Source organism: Homo sapiens, chromosome 4, assembly GCF_000001405.40.
Source record: "Homo sapiens chromosome 4, GRCh38.p14 Primary Assembly".
Classification (NCBI taxonomy): Eukaryota; Metazoa; Chordata; class Mammalia; order Primates; family Hominidae; genus Homo; species Homo sapiens.
The window spans coordinates 28,094,478-28,111,385 of NC_000004.12; the positions used below are offsets into that span (position 1 = coordinate 28,094,478).

At 33.8% G+C, this 16,908-nt stretch overlaps 1 long non-coding RNA gene across 1 annotated transcript in view; it reads right to left on the reverse strand.

Moving 5' to 3' along the window:
• The window catches only part of LOC105374553 (uncharacterized), an 84,694-nt gene extending 70,221 nt beyond the window's left edge, over nucleotides 1-14,473 (reverse strand). The window contains exon 1 of the long non-coding RNA XR_925524.2: nucleotides 14,377-14,473. This is a non-coding gene — a long non-coding RNA (uncharacterized LOC105374553). The remainder of the gene's footprint in view (nucleotides 1-14,376) is intronic.
• Between the last annotated feature and the right edge of the window lie 2,435 nt (nucleotides 14,474-16,908).

Below are 16,908 nucleotides of genomic sequence, written 5' to 3' on the forward strand. Positions count from 1 at the left end.
TTATATATAGTGTATGTGTGTATATATATACACACACATATATACATGTATATATATACACACATATATACATGTGTATATATATACACACACACACACACATATATATATCACACATTCATCACATTTATTCTCACAACCTAAGAATCTAGAATTAGATGCTATTACTAATTCTCTCTTGAAGAAAGTGAGGGACACAGAGATTAAATAGTATATTCTAAGATATACCTTTAGTATTTAATTTTTCTCTGGCATTTCCATATACTTTCAGCAAGGTTCAGTAGATTTTTGAAACAGTCGTACATTCTACTTGAGTTCCTTCCTTCTTTACCACATGTAGGTCTAGTATTGTTTCCAAGAACTGCTTGCTTTTCTCCTTTTAACTTTTCATTTCTAAGCCATTAATTTTTTAACGTTCTACTTTAGACTTAATGTAGCTGATTCCCTCATGGTGAGTTATATGAAATGTATGCTTTTTGAGTCATGTGCTTAAATTTAAGATAATATACCAAGGTGTATTATTTCTTTCTCCCATTGCTATGAGGAAATACCTGAGACTTGGTAATTTACAAAGGAAAGAGGTTTAATTGGCTCATGGCTCTGCAGGGTGTACGGGAGGCATGATGCTGGCATCTGTTTGGCTTCTGGGTTGGCCTCAGGAAACTTACAATCATGGTGGAAGGCAAAGGGGTATCAAGGCATCTCACATGGTAGAAACTAGAGTAAGAGAGAGAGTGGGGAGCTGCTCCACACTTTTAAACAAACAGATCTTTTGAGAACTCCATCAGGAGAATAGCACCAAGGAGATGGTGCTAAACCAATTATGAGAAACCCCTGCCCATGATCAGATCACCTCCCAACTCCAACACTGGGGATTACAATTGGAGATGAGATTTGGGTGGGGACACAGAACCAAACCATATCAGGAGGCAAAACAATTAGACACATTCAATTCAATATAACAACAACATTTTAAAATAAAAAACTGAGTTGCAAGAAAGTAAAAGATAGCCTCAGCATACTAAAACAAAACACAATTTGAACTTGAAGATGATGACCTAAACACAATAGAAGAAGGAGATAAGGTTTTTGGGTATACAAGGAAGAGAGTTGAAACTCAGCTGTGTTATTAAGCCAGGCTAAGGTTCTACCCTTCTAATAAAAGTAATAGCTAGAAAAAATATATGTATATAAATTGCTCATTGACAAAAGTAGACAGCAATGAATCTTGTCTGCCTAGCCTGTCACTGAACCGAATGCTCTTTCTGACTGTGAATATATTCAAATGTCTCTGGTCTTTGACTGTGTTAGGTCCCTCTGTCACCCCTTTCCCTGTGGGTGCATTGTCACACTTTCTGTCTCATTTCTGCTGGTCTCAGTTGCTTTGGGCCACAAGTACATGCAATTTGGAGTTTATGTTTCTATTGTCTCCTGGCTTAGCTCTAAAGATTTTATTCTCCTTATCCTTCTGCGTACATTCCAAGTGGAAAGGCGGGAAGAATCAGAACTAAGTTACCGATCTGTAATTACCAAATAGGATGACCCCATATCAGGATTTTCAAAGATAACGAACCCAGCCTTTTGTCCGGAGTGTTGTATAGCCAGAAATCAAATTCCTCTCTAATCTGCATAAATAAATGTATGCATTTTTCCATCTTCCCCTTTAATACTGTCTCCTTTGTCAAACTACTTGTTTGGTTTTTTTGTTTGTTGATTTGTTTGCCTAACTTTGCTGTTCCCCAAACACGTTTTGTGTTACATTTTGCTCCACATTCAGAAGTCAGGTCAACACCTTACACTGGTTTATGTATCAAAACCTAAAGGCCAGAGCTCTACTTGTTAAAGAAAAGATTTGGGAGAATAAATACTTGAAAACTGATCAAAAGGGTACAGCTTAAAATCTGTAAGAACACTCATGCCAGATGTACCTAATTGTATTATTAATAGGCATGGTGGAATGACGTTTACCAGTGCTCCCTAACCTTCCCAATTCGTGTAACACTGATAAGACTTGTACAGGTGTGCCTAGATACCTCCAGAGGTGAATTGACCATCATCTAGCATGCATGTGTTTTCTGTGGGCACATTGGAAGTCCCCAGAACAATATTTGAGAATCTCTGCCACAGAATAAATAAATTTGGAGTTCAGTGATATGTTTTTGTGATATTAGTTATCTCCTAATACTTATAATTAATTCGTGTATTCAAAGTGTTTTCAGCAAGTGACTTAAGAGTGGCCTTTAAAATTTTCAACGTTAATCTGACATTTTTCTTTCTGTGAATAGTTTATAAAGAATAAAATAGATCTTTTGTACAAATTTGAAGGTTAAGGAGAGGTAGTCTCACAAAACCGTTAAAAAATCTCATAATACAACTTTACAAATAATTTGCACTGAAAATAAAGCAATTTAGAATATAGATATGTAAATTATGCCATTCAGTAGGCATTTGGTAATCACTAAGAGATTGGCAAGTTCACTGCCTCATGGAATTTGCATGCTAATTAGGGAGAACAGAAAATGTTCAAATAAAATAATACACAGCATATATTAAATAATGATACTATTACGCACATCACAGTCTCCCAAAATTGTTTTATGAAGTTGGAGAAGATTTTCTATTTTCAATATTAATGATGTCCTATTATTTTTATTCTTTGTTTTATATTTTGGCCTTTTAAGCAGTACATTTTCAATTGCTAAATGAGTTAATTTGACTTTATTTGAAAACTGTTGGATCAAGGAAAACTTTATTTCTAGCTTATATCTGAAGTATTTCCTTTTCGTTCTGAAAGATCTTTTCTGTTTTCTTTTCATTTTTATTAAGGTTAGTGTTAGCTGTTGAAGTCCTGTTTCTTGAATCTATTTGTTGTATAACTATCTTATCTTTTTTATAGCTAATTTGAGATAAGCAAAGAACCAATTTCCAGAGCTTTCCCTGGAAAAACCCTGAATTGACCCTTGAAAAGAAAATATGTCTTACTTTATATTAGAGCTCTAGCTTGAGAGAGAGAACAAGAAAGAGTGCTATATGCAATCAATTCTTGCAACATTTCCAGAATAATCACGTTCAGATATGAAATGGATTCAGAGTTATTTGTTCTTTGTCAATAAACTAGTCAATAAAAGATGCAAGTCCTGAAATATAGAATTACATGTTGCTTCCACCTTCTAGAAGCAAGGAAAGCAAATATCATATGTTGTTCAATTCCAGCCATATGTCAATATGAAAGAAAAACACAGATTTGCAGTTTTATACCTTTACCAATGTGATGACTATAAAAGGACTGATAAAGAACTTAGAGAGTAGCTACTTACAGAGGCCTCCTTGCTATTTTGCCAATTATCGAGTTATTACCAAGAAATATGAAAATTGGAAGCTTATTATTATTGAAGGGCAGCTTTTTTCCTTCAACTGTAGTTCACTTAGGATAGATATAGATATACTATATATTACATATATATATAGATATAAGAACAAGTTAATGCATGCTGAAATTATTATATAGAGGAATGAAAAGAAAAATTAAGCAATAAAAGGTCAGATTAGCATGCCAAGAGAAGAGCAGGTCTCTTAAATTTATTATTTTTCATAACTTAAATTGATCTTTAATGTTTTTGATGATGAAATTAGTGTGTATTATTACAGAAATCTGAATAATTTAGAAAATCTAACAGAAAAATTAAAATTAGTCTGTATTCCAGAGTTAATGTATTTTTCCTTGCTATGTGCACATGTGTTAACATGTGGCTATATATGTAAATTAGGCATTGCCATATTTACCAACATATTGTGGGTACCTTTCTTTTTACGTTCAAATATTATCTGCAATTATTACATGCGTCTATCAATTTATCTTATAAATAATCATATTTTATTTTTGCAATTTTCTATGGCCAAGATTTTAATTCTTTCTAATACTTTTATTATCTTAAATAACTATAGTAATTATGTTTATGTATTTATGGTTACCATGAGAAAGAAAATTTTAAAATGTAGGATAACTGGGAAGAATTACCTTTTTAAAAAACTATGTTTGATGTAAACTGACCAATTTATTTCAAGAAATGCACTAATATGACATCATTCTATGCTTGCCGCAGCAGCAAAGAGAATTATTGATTTCTTCTTGCACCTGCTATTGTTGAAACTTTATCCAATGTTTCAATGTTTGCAAATTGGATTGGGGAAATATCTCTCGGCATTTGTATGTCTTCTTTATACATTGCCTAGTAATACTTTTGCTCAGTTTTATGAGTTTCTTTCTCTTTTTATTGATTTATTATTCTTTTTAATATAAGGTATATTGAGCAAGATATGCATATATGGACTTAATGTTCAATTTGTGATAGCTTTTATGTTTCAATTTTATATACTGTTTTGTAATGTGCACATTTAAACATCTATGTGATCAAATGATGTGAAATTTTTTTTAGGCATTGTGCAAAAAACTTCCTCTGTAATATATAATAAATGTATACCTATATTTTTTGGCTAATTCTCATGTTGCTTTTTTTTGAGACAGTAGTTGTTATTTTATTTAAAACAGAAAACCATGTCCACATATCATTTGATCAATGTTGCACCTTGTCACATAACCTTGAAATACCATCATTTTGTTTAAAATGAATCAATACACATAAACAGAGTTATACACACGCGAACATGCACACACACACAAACACAGAGTTTTTCTCAGGTTCTATTTTGTTTAAAAACTGCCTATGTATTCTTTACAGAATAACATAGTTTAATATAATTTTATATCACGATAACACAAATCCCTCCTTGTTACTTACTTATTTTTATAATTTTTCTGATAATTCTGATATAAATTTTTTCTCAAATGTGTCTGAATATAATTTGGCCTAGTTATAGTAAGATATTAGAATTTTTATTAGTGTGTTGAATTAATAAATTAGCTTGTGAACATTTTATACCTTATGTTATAGAGGTTTCTCTAGACAGTCTACTATGATTACTTTTAAAAATAAGAAAGTATAAAGACGATCAAATGATTCTGTAGCATCTGTAAAGATGACCTAGATTTTGCTCTTTTACTTCGATCTATTAATATAATGAAGATTATTACTAATATTGTCTAATGTATATAAATTAGACAATTTAATATTTTGACAAAATTATATACAAATATTTCTTTTTTTTTTCTTTTTGAGACAGAATCTCACTCTGTTGCTAGGCTGGAGTGCAGTGGCACGATGTCAGCTCACTGCAACCTCCGATTCCCTGGTTCAAGTGATTCTCCTGCCTCAGCCTCCCTAGTATCTGGGATTGCAGGCACGCACCCTTACGCCCAGCTAATTTTTGAATTTTTAATAGAGACGGGGTTTCACCATGTTGGCCAGGATGTTCTCCATCTCCTGACCTCATGTTCTGCCCCCCTCTGCCTCCCAAAGTGCTGGAATTACAGGCGTGAGCCACCACGCCAGGCCAAAATTATTTCTTAATAGCATCATTCATATTAAATAAAGAAAACACCTTTATCATATATTTATCTTTCATAATGTACAGGTTTCAGCTTTGTGCCGTGCAATAGTTGTCTAAATGAGAGCCCTCCCCAGTCAAAAACTGTAATCCCCACCACCCCAAGAAAATAGCCTTCATGATCATATGAGTGATACTAAGGGCCAGGCCTTTCAGAAAACCCACATGTCATTTTTTTTTTGTCCTCATTGTAGCCTCTTAGCAGCATTCCAGGGTAAATTAATTTTCCACTAAGCTTCATTTAGCTAATTTGACTCCAACTTCACAGAATAATATTTTCATTCAATCTTCTCTTACTTGCTCCCCTCATCAACATCAATTCTAATTGTTAGAATGTTAAAGGTTTCTTTTTTATATTATTATTTTTTCTCTTTTTTGCGGGGGACAGAGTTTCATTCTTGTTGCCCAGGCTGGAGTGCAATGGCATGATCTCGGCTCACTGCAACCTCTGTCTCCCAGGTTCAAGCAATTCTCCTTTCTCAGCTTCCCGAGTAGCTGAGATTACAAGTATGCACCACCATGTCCAGCTAATTTTTGTGTTTTTAGTAGAAATGGGGTTCCACCATGTTGGCCAGTCTAGTCTTGACCTTCTGACCTCAGGTGATCCTCCAGCCTCGGCCTTCCACAATGCTGGGATTACAGGCCTGAGCCACCATTACCGGCCTCTTTTTTTTTTTATTCTTTTGCATTTTCAATGATCTTATCTGGTCTAGAGGTTTCATATACTGATATCTTTCTAGTTTATTTCTGAACCCCTGAACTCTACCCTGAGTTTCAGAGGCACAAATTATTACACTATTATTTTAAGATATCATTGTATTATACTTAAAACAGGTTTTATTTAGGGATTTTTAAAACTTTATATTTTTATGTTGACTGCATTTCTCCATGCTAACATTTTTCATGCAAAACATTTAGCATGTGTTGTATTCAGAATATATTAATTTAATAAAACAAGTTGATTTATTCTTCTCTTTTTTTCTGTGCTCTGTAACAATGTAAGTAGTGTGGGATTGGCCGGGCGCAGTGGCTCACGCCTGTAATCCCAGCACTTTGGGATGCCGAGGCAGGTGTATCATGAGATCAGGAGTTCAAGACCAGCCTGGCCAAGATGGTGAAACCCCGCCTCTACCAAAAATACAAAAAAAAAATTAGTCAGGCACGATGGCAGGCGCCTGTAATCCTAGCTACTCGGGAGGCTGAGGCAGGAGAATTGCTTGAACTCGGAGGGCGAAGGTTACAGTGAGCCAAGATCGCGCCACTGCACTCCAGCCTGGGCGACAGAGTGAGACTCTGTCTCAAAAAAAAAAAAAAAAAAAATCTCTCTGACAGTGAGTTCAAGGTGGACTGATATAAAAGATAAATATCATTTCAGGTAAGAGTTTCACTTGGCCTGAACATTGGCATAGGTCAGATAGGGAGAGTTCTAATTTCAAAAATAATAAATTCATAGCATTTAATAGAGTAACTGTGTGCCAGGCACTGCTCTACATGCTTTATCTATATTATCCCATTTTGCCCAATTCTGTGAGGACTATCATTATTTTTACCATTTCCTAGATGAGCAGAAATAGGCACAGCCATTTAGGTCATGTGTCCCAGATCCTGTAATTAATAAATAGAAGATCTAGGATTTGAATCCAATTAAGTCACCCCAGAGACCCAAGTTTTATGACTATTAATTACAGCTTCCCAATATGTGTAGGCAGGAGAAGAGAATGTGCAAACAATAGGTACAGGAGTAAGGATTGTTCAATTATTCATAAATATTAATGGAACGTTTTTGCTGTGCCAGCACAAAAAGTCTAGACTTGTAAGCCTGTGCTTCTGGGAAGATGGTGGAACAAATCATGAGAACATGTGATTTGGTATTAATAGAAGATGCATTACATTTTCATTCATGGTTCTTGGGCTATTCAGGAGGAGATATCCATCGAATTGTTAGGTGGACTATTGTGCTTTCAGGAAAGAAGTACATCCAGAGGATGTAGAGGATAGAGAAAAGTATCATCATATGAACATATAGTTGAAGTTGTGGACACAGATGAATTTCCAGTGAGAAAAATGTTTAGGCGTATGTGAAAAATGAAACCAAAGCAGCATTCCTAGCAAACAGAGACATGTAAAGAGAACTGCAGTAATAGTAACCCATTAGGCTGAACATTATAAAGTTAGACTGAAATACGTTGATAAATAAGACACAGAAACAAATAATAAGGTAATAAAAGCACCATTTTGTCTGGGAGTAGCATTCTAAGATTACAACTAAAATTACACATTAGATATGGCAAATAGCAAAGATATCCTGGGTGATCTTGGCAAAATAATTTCAAAGGTATTGCTTTAGAAAGCTGAAGAATCACTTAATTAGTGTAAGAAAATAAATGACACTGAGGATGAGAAGCTGTTATAAAAATTATTTCCAGAATCTTTTCCTAAAGAAAAAAATAACAAGTCGGTGAAAAGGCTAGAGGGGGCTATGCACCAGAGATAAGGTTTTGGGTTTGATTATGTCTGAGTTTTTTTTTTTAAAGAAGAAAAATATTGAGGGTGGGGTTTGCCAGCTGAATTTACGAGCAGGAGCCAATGGTATTTTAAGAATCTGCTTTTAATGTCATTTTATTCCTCCTTTTGAATGATACATTATTATTTGCATATTTCTCAGATGCATATTATGCTGGGTTGGTTTTTAATTGCCCCCAATCCATTTACAACCCATCACACATGCAGAGACATAGACATCTACTTGTGTGCACACACAGCACAAAAACAAAAAAACCAAACAAGCAAGAAACTATCACACACGATTTCACATATGAATCTATATGCCAATACTAAAATGATTACTAGGTTGATTGATCATTATTCAATATATATTCATGAAGTTCCTAGAGTGTCTCTTGGAGGTGACAAGAAGAAAGTTGTGGGCAAGAAACACAAATCTCTACTCTCTTACCTTTACATTCTATTTGGAGAACAGAGAATAAAGAAATAAATAGGTAAAGTTAAATAGAATAATAAGTAGTTACAGGAGCCATGAAGAAAATTTAGCAAGGTCAACAGGATACAGAGTAATGAGAAGGGAAGCTACTTTTATGAGGGTTAAGAGTAGGTGACCATAAGCATGGGACTGACTGTCCTAAGCAAAGGGTCACCAAGGGCAAGGCACAGAGGGGCTTTGGGAAAAGGACAGGATGAGTGTGACCTGAGAGTGTGAGAATCCTGAGGATCTATGATCAAGGAAGTTAGATGGTTAGCTAGGGACCACTCTGCAAATTCTCACAGCCAATGGTAAGGAATTTATTTTATTCTAGTTGCAATCAAATATAAAAAGAGTGCAAATCAGAGGAGAGCCGTGATAATTACATACTGTATTTGATTTTTGGATGCTATAGATGTATATTAGACATTTGAATGTATAATAGGTATAGTTTTGCATTCTCGTAAATGAGAATGTTAATAAGAAGTATTATCAGAACAACTAATAATTTAAAACCTGATTTATTTTTTTGTTATCTTATGGAAATTGAAAGAGTTGCATTAATTTGGGTAGAATTAGGGAGCTTTTCTACTTCATATGTTTACCACGTTGTTTTCACATCAGTCATTTAAATCATCCATGTATGAGATTGAGGTCAACTCCTAACAAAATTAGAGTCATCCACAGCACAACCCGAGCTCAGACAATTCTTTCAATGTTATCATTGAAAATGTTTTTTAAAGGATATTCAAAGAACTAGAGTTATTTTGCTATTTTTCTCTTAATTTTCATAAGACTCTGTAATAATTGAAGAATAGCTCAGAACTTAGAAAAAATGTAAGATAATACTGGATTTAACAAGGTGAAAGTCTCTTTAGAGACTCCAAAATCTTGAAAAGGGTTTCCTTAGTTTTTGCTTTTATTGTAACTACATTTGGTGCAGAATTGCCCAGTAGTGGCATCTTACATCACTATAAAAATCCTATTCTTGGCCAGGCACGGTGGCTCATGCCTGTAATCCCACCACTTTGGGAGGCCGAGGCGGGAAGATCACAAGGTCAGGAGATCGAGACCATCCTGGCTAACACGGTGAAACCCCATCTTTACCAAAAATACAAAAATTAGCCAGGCGCGGTGGCAGGCGCCTGTAATCCCAGCTACTCGGGAGGCTGAGGCAGGAGAATCGCTTGTACCCAGGGGGGCAGAGGTTGCAGCGAGCTGAGATCGCGGTACTGCACTCCAGCCTGGGTGACAGAGTCAGACTCTGTCTGAAAAAAAAAAAAAAAAAAATCCTATTTTTTTTTGCTGCTTGTGACTAATACTCTTTGAAAAACATTTTAAGATACACAGTGTGTGAGTTGCTATATAAAAATAAACGACATTGCATTATGGGCACTTTTGCTTTTGATGTATTATACAGCGCTTCCAAGATGTTCTAATGAATAGCAGATGAGGTGTGTCTCATAACAAAGAGGTTAGTGTATATTCTCTCCTTGAACTCTATTTTCAACCTCCATTAATCCTAATGTGAGTTATGTCTTCTATGTGGGCTTTAAATATATCAACCACTGTAAAAATTACATGCAATGAAAATCAGCATTTGATGATGAAAATATTTTGTATAATACAAGAGATAAGCAATGGGAACGGACTCCTGAAGTTATTATTATATGCCAAAATCTAGTTTTTTCTTTCTTGTTTTGAGCAACACTTTCCTTTAAACCCCTTGTTAGAAGATTAACATAAAGATTTTTTTTGTGATGGCTCTAAAAAGCTGAAGTTATAATTGAATTATTTTCTTTAAAATGGTTGACATGACGTTAATAATTTATCCTTCTCTCTCATTCATCTCCAATATACCACACAGGTAAATAGCTTTGAACAGGTTTGGGACTTAACAGACACTGTAGTCCAGTTTAACTTATCAGAAAGATGTAATTAAATTTTTTTTTACTAAAATTATCTGATATGCTTTTCTTGTCATAGACAGATTCTTAGTGACAGGATGTGGAAATGCCTGCTTGCGCCAATTTATTTTCTCCCCTAGTTTGCTGTATTACCTGAAATTCTCTTCATTAAAATCTCTTTTTTGATCAAAGCATTGTGCCTCTAGATGGCTCCTTTAAAGTAAGGTTAATGCAAAATCTCAATTCATTATTTAATCTGTTACATGATATCAAATACCAAAAGTGAGAAGCAGAAATTTAGACACACCTCCAAGGCAATGAAACTCATAAAAAAATACTTTGTGATAAGAAAAAGGGAAAAGATGGATTATGAAGGTGAAAGCAGGACAAGGTAGGTAAGAAGTAAGGGTGTGGGAAGGGATAGACCCACATATGACATTGCAATAACATTCTTAGACAGCAAAGGATTAATTTTTTTTTTTATATTTTCTATTCAGGTAAGCATAGTTACTCTGAGGATGTAAGGCATTTGGTGTATGTGCAGGTATTGTGTATGTGTGGGTGACAAACTTTGCCCATCCTGTAACATTTCTTCCTTTTCCATCTGAAGAAATGATGTTTGCTTATGCAAGTATTTGTCCTTTGCCCCAAATAGAAGACAATGAACTATTATATTTAGAAAAATACAGTGGAATTACCATAGCCAAGTCTTCAAAATGAGGTTGTGGACCCTTAAGCACACATGAAATCTTGGGGACAAAGATTATGTTAGGACAGGGCTTTTTGATCTCAGTCCTGTTGACATTTTGGGCCGGATTATTCTTTGTTGTAGGTGACTGTCTTGTGTGTTGGAAATGTAGCAACACGCTGCTCTCACCAGACAGCAGTAGCACCCCCATCCAAGCCCCAACACCCAGAATTGCCTCCCTATGATCCCACCCATCCCCTGGAAGGGAGACAAAATTGTTCCTCTTCTAGAATCAGTAGTTTAGAAAAATCAACTTCTAGATGTTTCACCTCTACATGAAGTGTTTCTTTCAACAGATATGTCCGAGAAAGTGGGGTGTGAATAAAGTATCCTTTAATAAGGCAACACAAACATATAGCTGAGCTTCGTGACTCAAGCACATTTCTGATAATTTTGAAGTTTGATGTTAGAAATGGTGTTTTAATCTGTGTTGAGATGTTCTGAACTGCAAAATGAGTGACATGAATAATGGCAGTTTTCATTACACAAATGTACATTTTCATTTGGCCATTCTAAGGAGAAAAAGAAGGAAGGAAAGAAGGAAGGAAGAAAGAGAAGGAACGAAGAAAGTAAAGAAGGAAGGAAGGAAGGGAGGAAGGGAAGGGAGGGAGGGAGGAAGGAAGGAAGGAAAGAAGGAAGGGAGGGAGGGAGGGAAGGGAAGGAGGGAGGAAGGAAGGAAGGATGGGGCATTGCTCTTCTGGAAAACAAACAAACAAAAAATCCAGAAAGACTGATGTTAAATCTATTGAAGGCAGTGACACATTGTTTTATTGATAAAATAAAATAAGTATGTGTAAGTCATAACAAATCTATCTAGTCATCTTTAAATTATACATTAGATGTGATTTTTTTTAAAATTACAATGGGATAACCTTTTTTAAAAATTATTTTAGGTGATCTTAAAGCAAAAGTTAAGGACTGTTGGATTAGCTATTTTGGATCTTGTCAGCAATTCCATCTCTTTAGAATATACACAAAAACACACAGGATTAAAAAAATTATTTTGTAGTCAATTTAGATGAAACAAGAAATTTCAGTGTTTTAATTTGATTGTATTTATTTTTGTATGCCTTATCTACAGGAAATTTCCTTACTCCAAGTTTACTTACTAGTAGAGTACACGAAATACTTACTAGTTGATATAGCATCTGTCTGAGCCTGAAAACTATTGTCAGAGTTGATCCAGTAAAATGTCTTAAATTTAAATGTAAGATTTAGAAATGGGTAAGCAATAATTATTTTTTGTGGGTCAATTTCTCAAGCATCTTTCTAAAAACGTTGAAAGGTATAAACAATTGTTTTCTGACATGCTCAACAACAGTTGGAAACTGCTTTTACAGTGTTGCAAAACTTTGATGTATTATATTTCCCAAATTTACCAAGAACAAGATCTTATTAATCAGACTTGATTTTGAATAGCTTTGCTACATTTTAAAAGAATGTTTTCTTCTGAGCCATCAACATTTTCAATAAGTAAACTTGTATTTTATTTTTGGATCTTCTAATAAACCATAAGGAAAAGCAAGGAGAACGAGATTCTTCTAAAATTGTGGATTTACAGAATGGTTATCTTTAGGCATGTTTTTGATTGACCACGACTATCATTTAGTTAACTGTAATGTAAAGAAGAAAAATAGCATAGGATTTGATAAGTCAGTATGATTATAAGAATTCAGAATTAAGTGAAGATTCTGTATCAGTCTCTAGTTTTTTTTTTCTTTTGTTTGTTTGTTTTGTTTGTTTGAGATGGAGTCTCACTTTGGTGCCCAGGCTGGAGTGCAGTGGCATGATCTCAGCTCCCTTCAACCTCTGCCTCCTGGGTTCAAGCGATTCTTCTGCCTCAGCCTCCCGAGTAGCTGGGACAACAGGCACGAGCCACTATATCCGGCTAATTTTTGTATTTTTAGTAGAGATGGGGTTTCACCATATTGGCCAGGCTGGTCTTGAACTCCTGACCTCAGGTGATCTGCCCACCTTAGCCTCCCAAAGTGCTGGGATTACAGGGGTGTGCCACTATGCCCAACCAGCAGTCTCTAGTTCTTTAAAATTTAATGTTTCTTTTGCATATGTGACTTTTTCAAGACATATAATGCCATTGTCCTCTGAAGCTGGTGAAAGGAAAGCCTTCTTTTTGGATAATATTTAGAAAGGCATGTGTCAACCTACTCTCCTGACAGTCAGATTTGCTTTCATCAAACATCGATGCTTGGTTTGAATATGTTCCTGAAAATAAATAGTATTGTGTTGGAAACTCTGTTACTAGATATCATTTTCAAATAAAGGTTATTCTTTTTCTAAAGAAAGAATATATACTGCTGAACATAAATTCACACATAACAGTTATGAATTAGGATACCTTGAAAAATGAAAATGAGGAATTTAATTCTGAATTTTATCACAAAAATAAGAGTTAGTATTGAGCTTTGCAAAAGGACCGTTTTAGCACACATTGACATATGACTTACCTCTTCTGACTAATGTTAGAATTCGTTCATCCCTTAAAATACTGCTTTCTGCTAATTGGGCAAAAAAGTTTGTAATAATTGAATGTAACATTTTTAAGGGACCCTACATACCTAGAGTCCCAAAGATATTACAGTTTATCATAAATCCTGATCTTGAAGTTGTAATCATTTGAATTTCTGTGTGTATGTATTCAATCTTAAGCTCTCAAAAGTAGCTTTGTCACGACAAACTGTTACTAGATCACATACTGTGTTTTCTCGGCTGAAATGATTACTCTATGTGAAATCAGGCTTTGACAGTTGTATTCCTTTTTGTTCTGTCAAGAGGAATGCTTTCTCATTTATTGAAGAAGAAAATAATATTCTCTAATTCCTGAAAGGAATTGTGTTTCCTAGAACTTGATTATTAATCATAATTTTAGAATTTTCTAGCACCTGCAGCTGAATAATTTTCACTGCTACCCCACTGTGAATGGAAAATAGACATTTCTGAATAATAATCTATGTTACATCCTAATGTTAGTTCCCAACTTATATTGGTTCAAATTAGAACTTTTCTACTTGACAAATGGGAAGAAAGCAATACACATTCAGTATGCTTCTCAATTTACCACGCGGTTATGTCTGAATAAACCTATGTGTCAAAAACACACTTTTGACTTGTTATTTTCAACAGAGAATGAGTTTATTGGGGCACAACCCCATAGTAAGTCAAGGAGCACCTGTGTAGTGTCACAACTCGCACATTTCTTAGTGACTGAAAGCACTGACCTTTTGGGGACTGCAAATTGTCCAATTTGAGCTTTTGGTCCTGGAATTATGATGAATTTAATGATGAATCTGACGTATATTTGTGCTCAAGGAGCTTTCAATCTGGTTAGTATATCAAAAGGATCAATATCAGGGCCCAGAACTTGCTTAAAGGTTTTAAGAATTCTGAAAAATACAAACACATACACACACACACACACACACACACACACACACACACACAATTACTTTTAGCTTATTATAGAAAAGAAGAATTGCGTGGGGAAAAAAAAACCGTCATACATTGTGGAGGAATCTGAATTCAAACTGAATTTAGAAGTGAATAGAGTAGTTCATCATGGAAGAAAGTAAAAGGGGTAAGTTCTGCAACAAGCAACAGCATGAACAAAAAAAAAAAAAAGGAAATTACTATCATATACATCAAAGAATAAATAGGTCAAGAAAAGTTTATAAAATATATATTACGACAGTAATACTCTATGGGTACAGTTATAACTGTCAAAAAATACATAATAATGTGTATTGCCTAATTGAGCACAACTTTATATCTGTTTGTTTCCCATGTATTAAAAAATCATGTTTTATTGATAATTGTTGGGTTGTGCCATATGAGAAAGATCATTAGATATCAGATTAAATTTATGTATTAATATGCAGAAATCTTCATGTGGCATAAAAAATTTAACACACGAAAGCATACAGCAGCTTACCATTGTACTGCAAATTGTCTCCTGTTCAAGGGCCTATTTCTTACGTGTTAGACAATACAGTGCAGTAAAGCTATATTCCTTTAAGAACATAAAAAAAGGTCAGGATTATAATGATTTCATCAATTTTCAAAGATCCTAATGAGTTTGTATTAAAAATTTCTCTGCTTTTTCAATAACATATAAAAAGTCTTGGACAATTTAGTCTTTCTCTTGCTGTCTTAGCATGTAGCTGCCAGCCACAGTATTTTATAAATAAAACATTTCAATAAATACTCCATAAAAAAGGCATTTCCTCATGAATATGTGCATTCAGGCTGGAATCTTGTTTTAATAACTATTCATTGTTGAAAGTCACTTACTCTTACAATGCAATTGTTGACATAAAGTAGATATAATTTCTGTCTTATCTTGGGTATGTAAGTAACACATACATTCTCCTTTTACAGTAACTTTCTGTAAGGTCTATCAGTCCTAAGAAATTGATAAAACATGTGAAAGATGTTATATTATTTGTAATGAGAGCTCTGAGCAGTGACATTTTTCTTTTCTGATAGTTCTGTTCACTAATTTGATTTTTCAGATTAACTGCCAAATAACTCCCACATAAATAAATCATTCTGTAATGACCTTGAATGTCCATTGAGATGAGACATATTTTTATTATTATGAATATTTATGTACAAGATCATATGTTTATATTTCAACATGGCCTAAATTTAGATACTTCAAAAAAATCAAAAAGGGAATAATAATCCCAAGATTAAAATATTAAATCTGATGAAGTTAATCTTTTTACATTTTATATATGCAGAGTATTTTGAACCCTTGAAAACTAACTATATCATGCTATCTGGCATGGGTTTCCATTTCAATTTATATTTTTAAATATTGATGTGGAACTCAGTGGAGAAATAGAACTCTATTCCTGAAATATAATATCATTATTCTACATAAAAGAGATTGGTAATCATATGGATATATAAGTATATATGTATATACTCTTTTGACTTCTATTAAATAAATTTGCTAAGTGGCAAATAGCATATATCTATGACTTCACTTATTTTTTTTTTCATCTTGGTTATATATGTGTATGTGTATGTGTATATATGTGTGTGTATGTGTATATATATATGCGTGTGTGTGTGTGTGTGTGTGTGTGTGTGTATATATATATATACTCTTTTTGACTCCATTAAATAAAGCTGCTAAGTGGCAAATGGCATGTATCTATGGTTTCACTTTTTTTTGTTCTATCTTTCAAATGTAAATATGCAGTCCAAAGTTCATATTTTTTTTGCTTATTTTTATGAAACTTTAGACTCCTAGAGGACAAAAACCATGGGTTTTATCCTTATACTAAAAGTCCTATCATAATACTTGCAAAATGGAAGTACTAAATTAATGAGTTGTTTAAATAATTTACATCAGATAATAGTCAAGAGCAAAATGCAATATTGCAACAAAATACTACATATTTCTAAATATGCAATTTACCAGATAGGGTATACACATTATTAAATATTTTAAAATATTTACATAGATAATTATATAGACACATATACATATATATGTCACAAGAAAATATTGACAAATAAATAGATATTACTTGAATTGTAAAATAGTTTAGTAATTGATATAACAAGACTTTTTAACAAAGTATGAATATAGATATTTTGAATTGCGCAGTTGTCATATCAGATCGTTTAATCAATTGTAGAACTCATTATTTAATAATTAGAGAACACCTATGCTTTTAAAGTTCTGGAACACATATATTTTATCAAATACCAGACTCCAGTGAGGCATCAGAAAACTATTA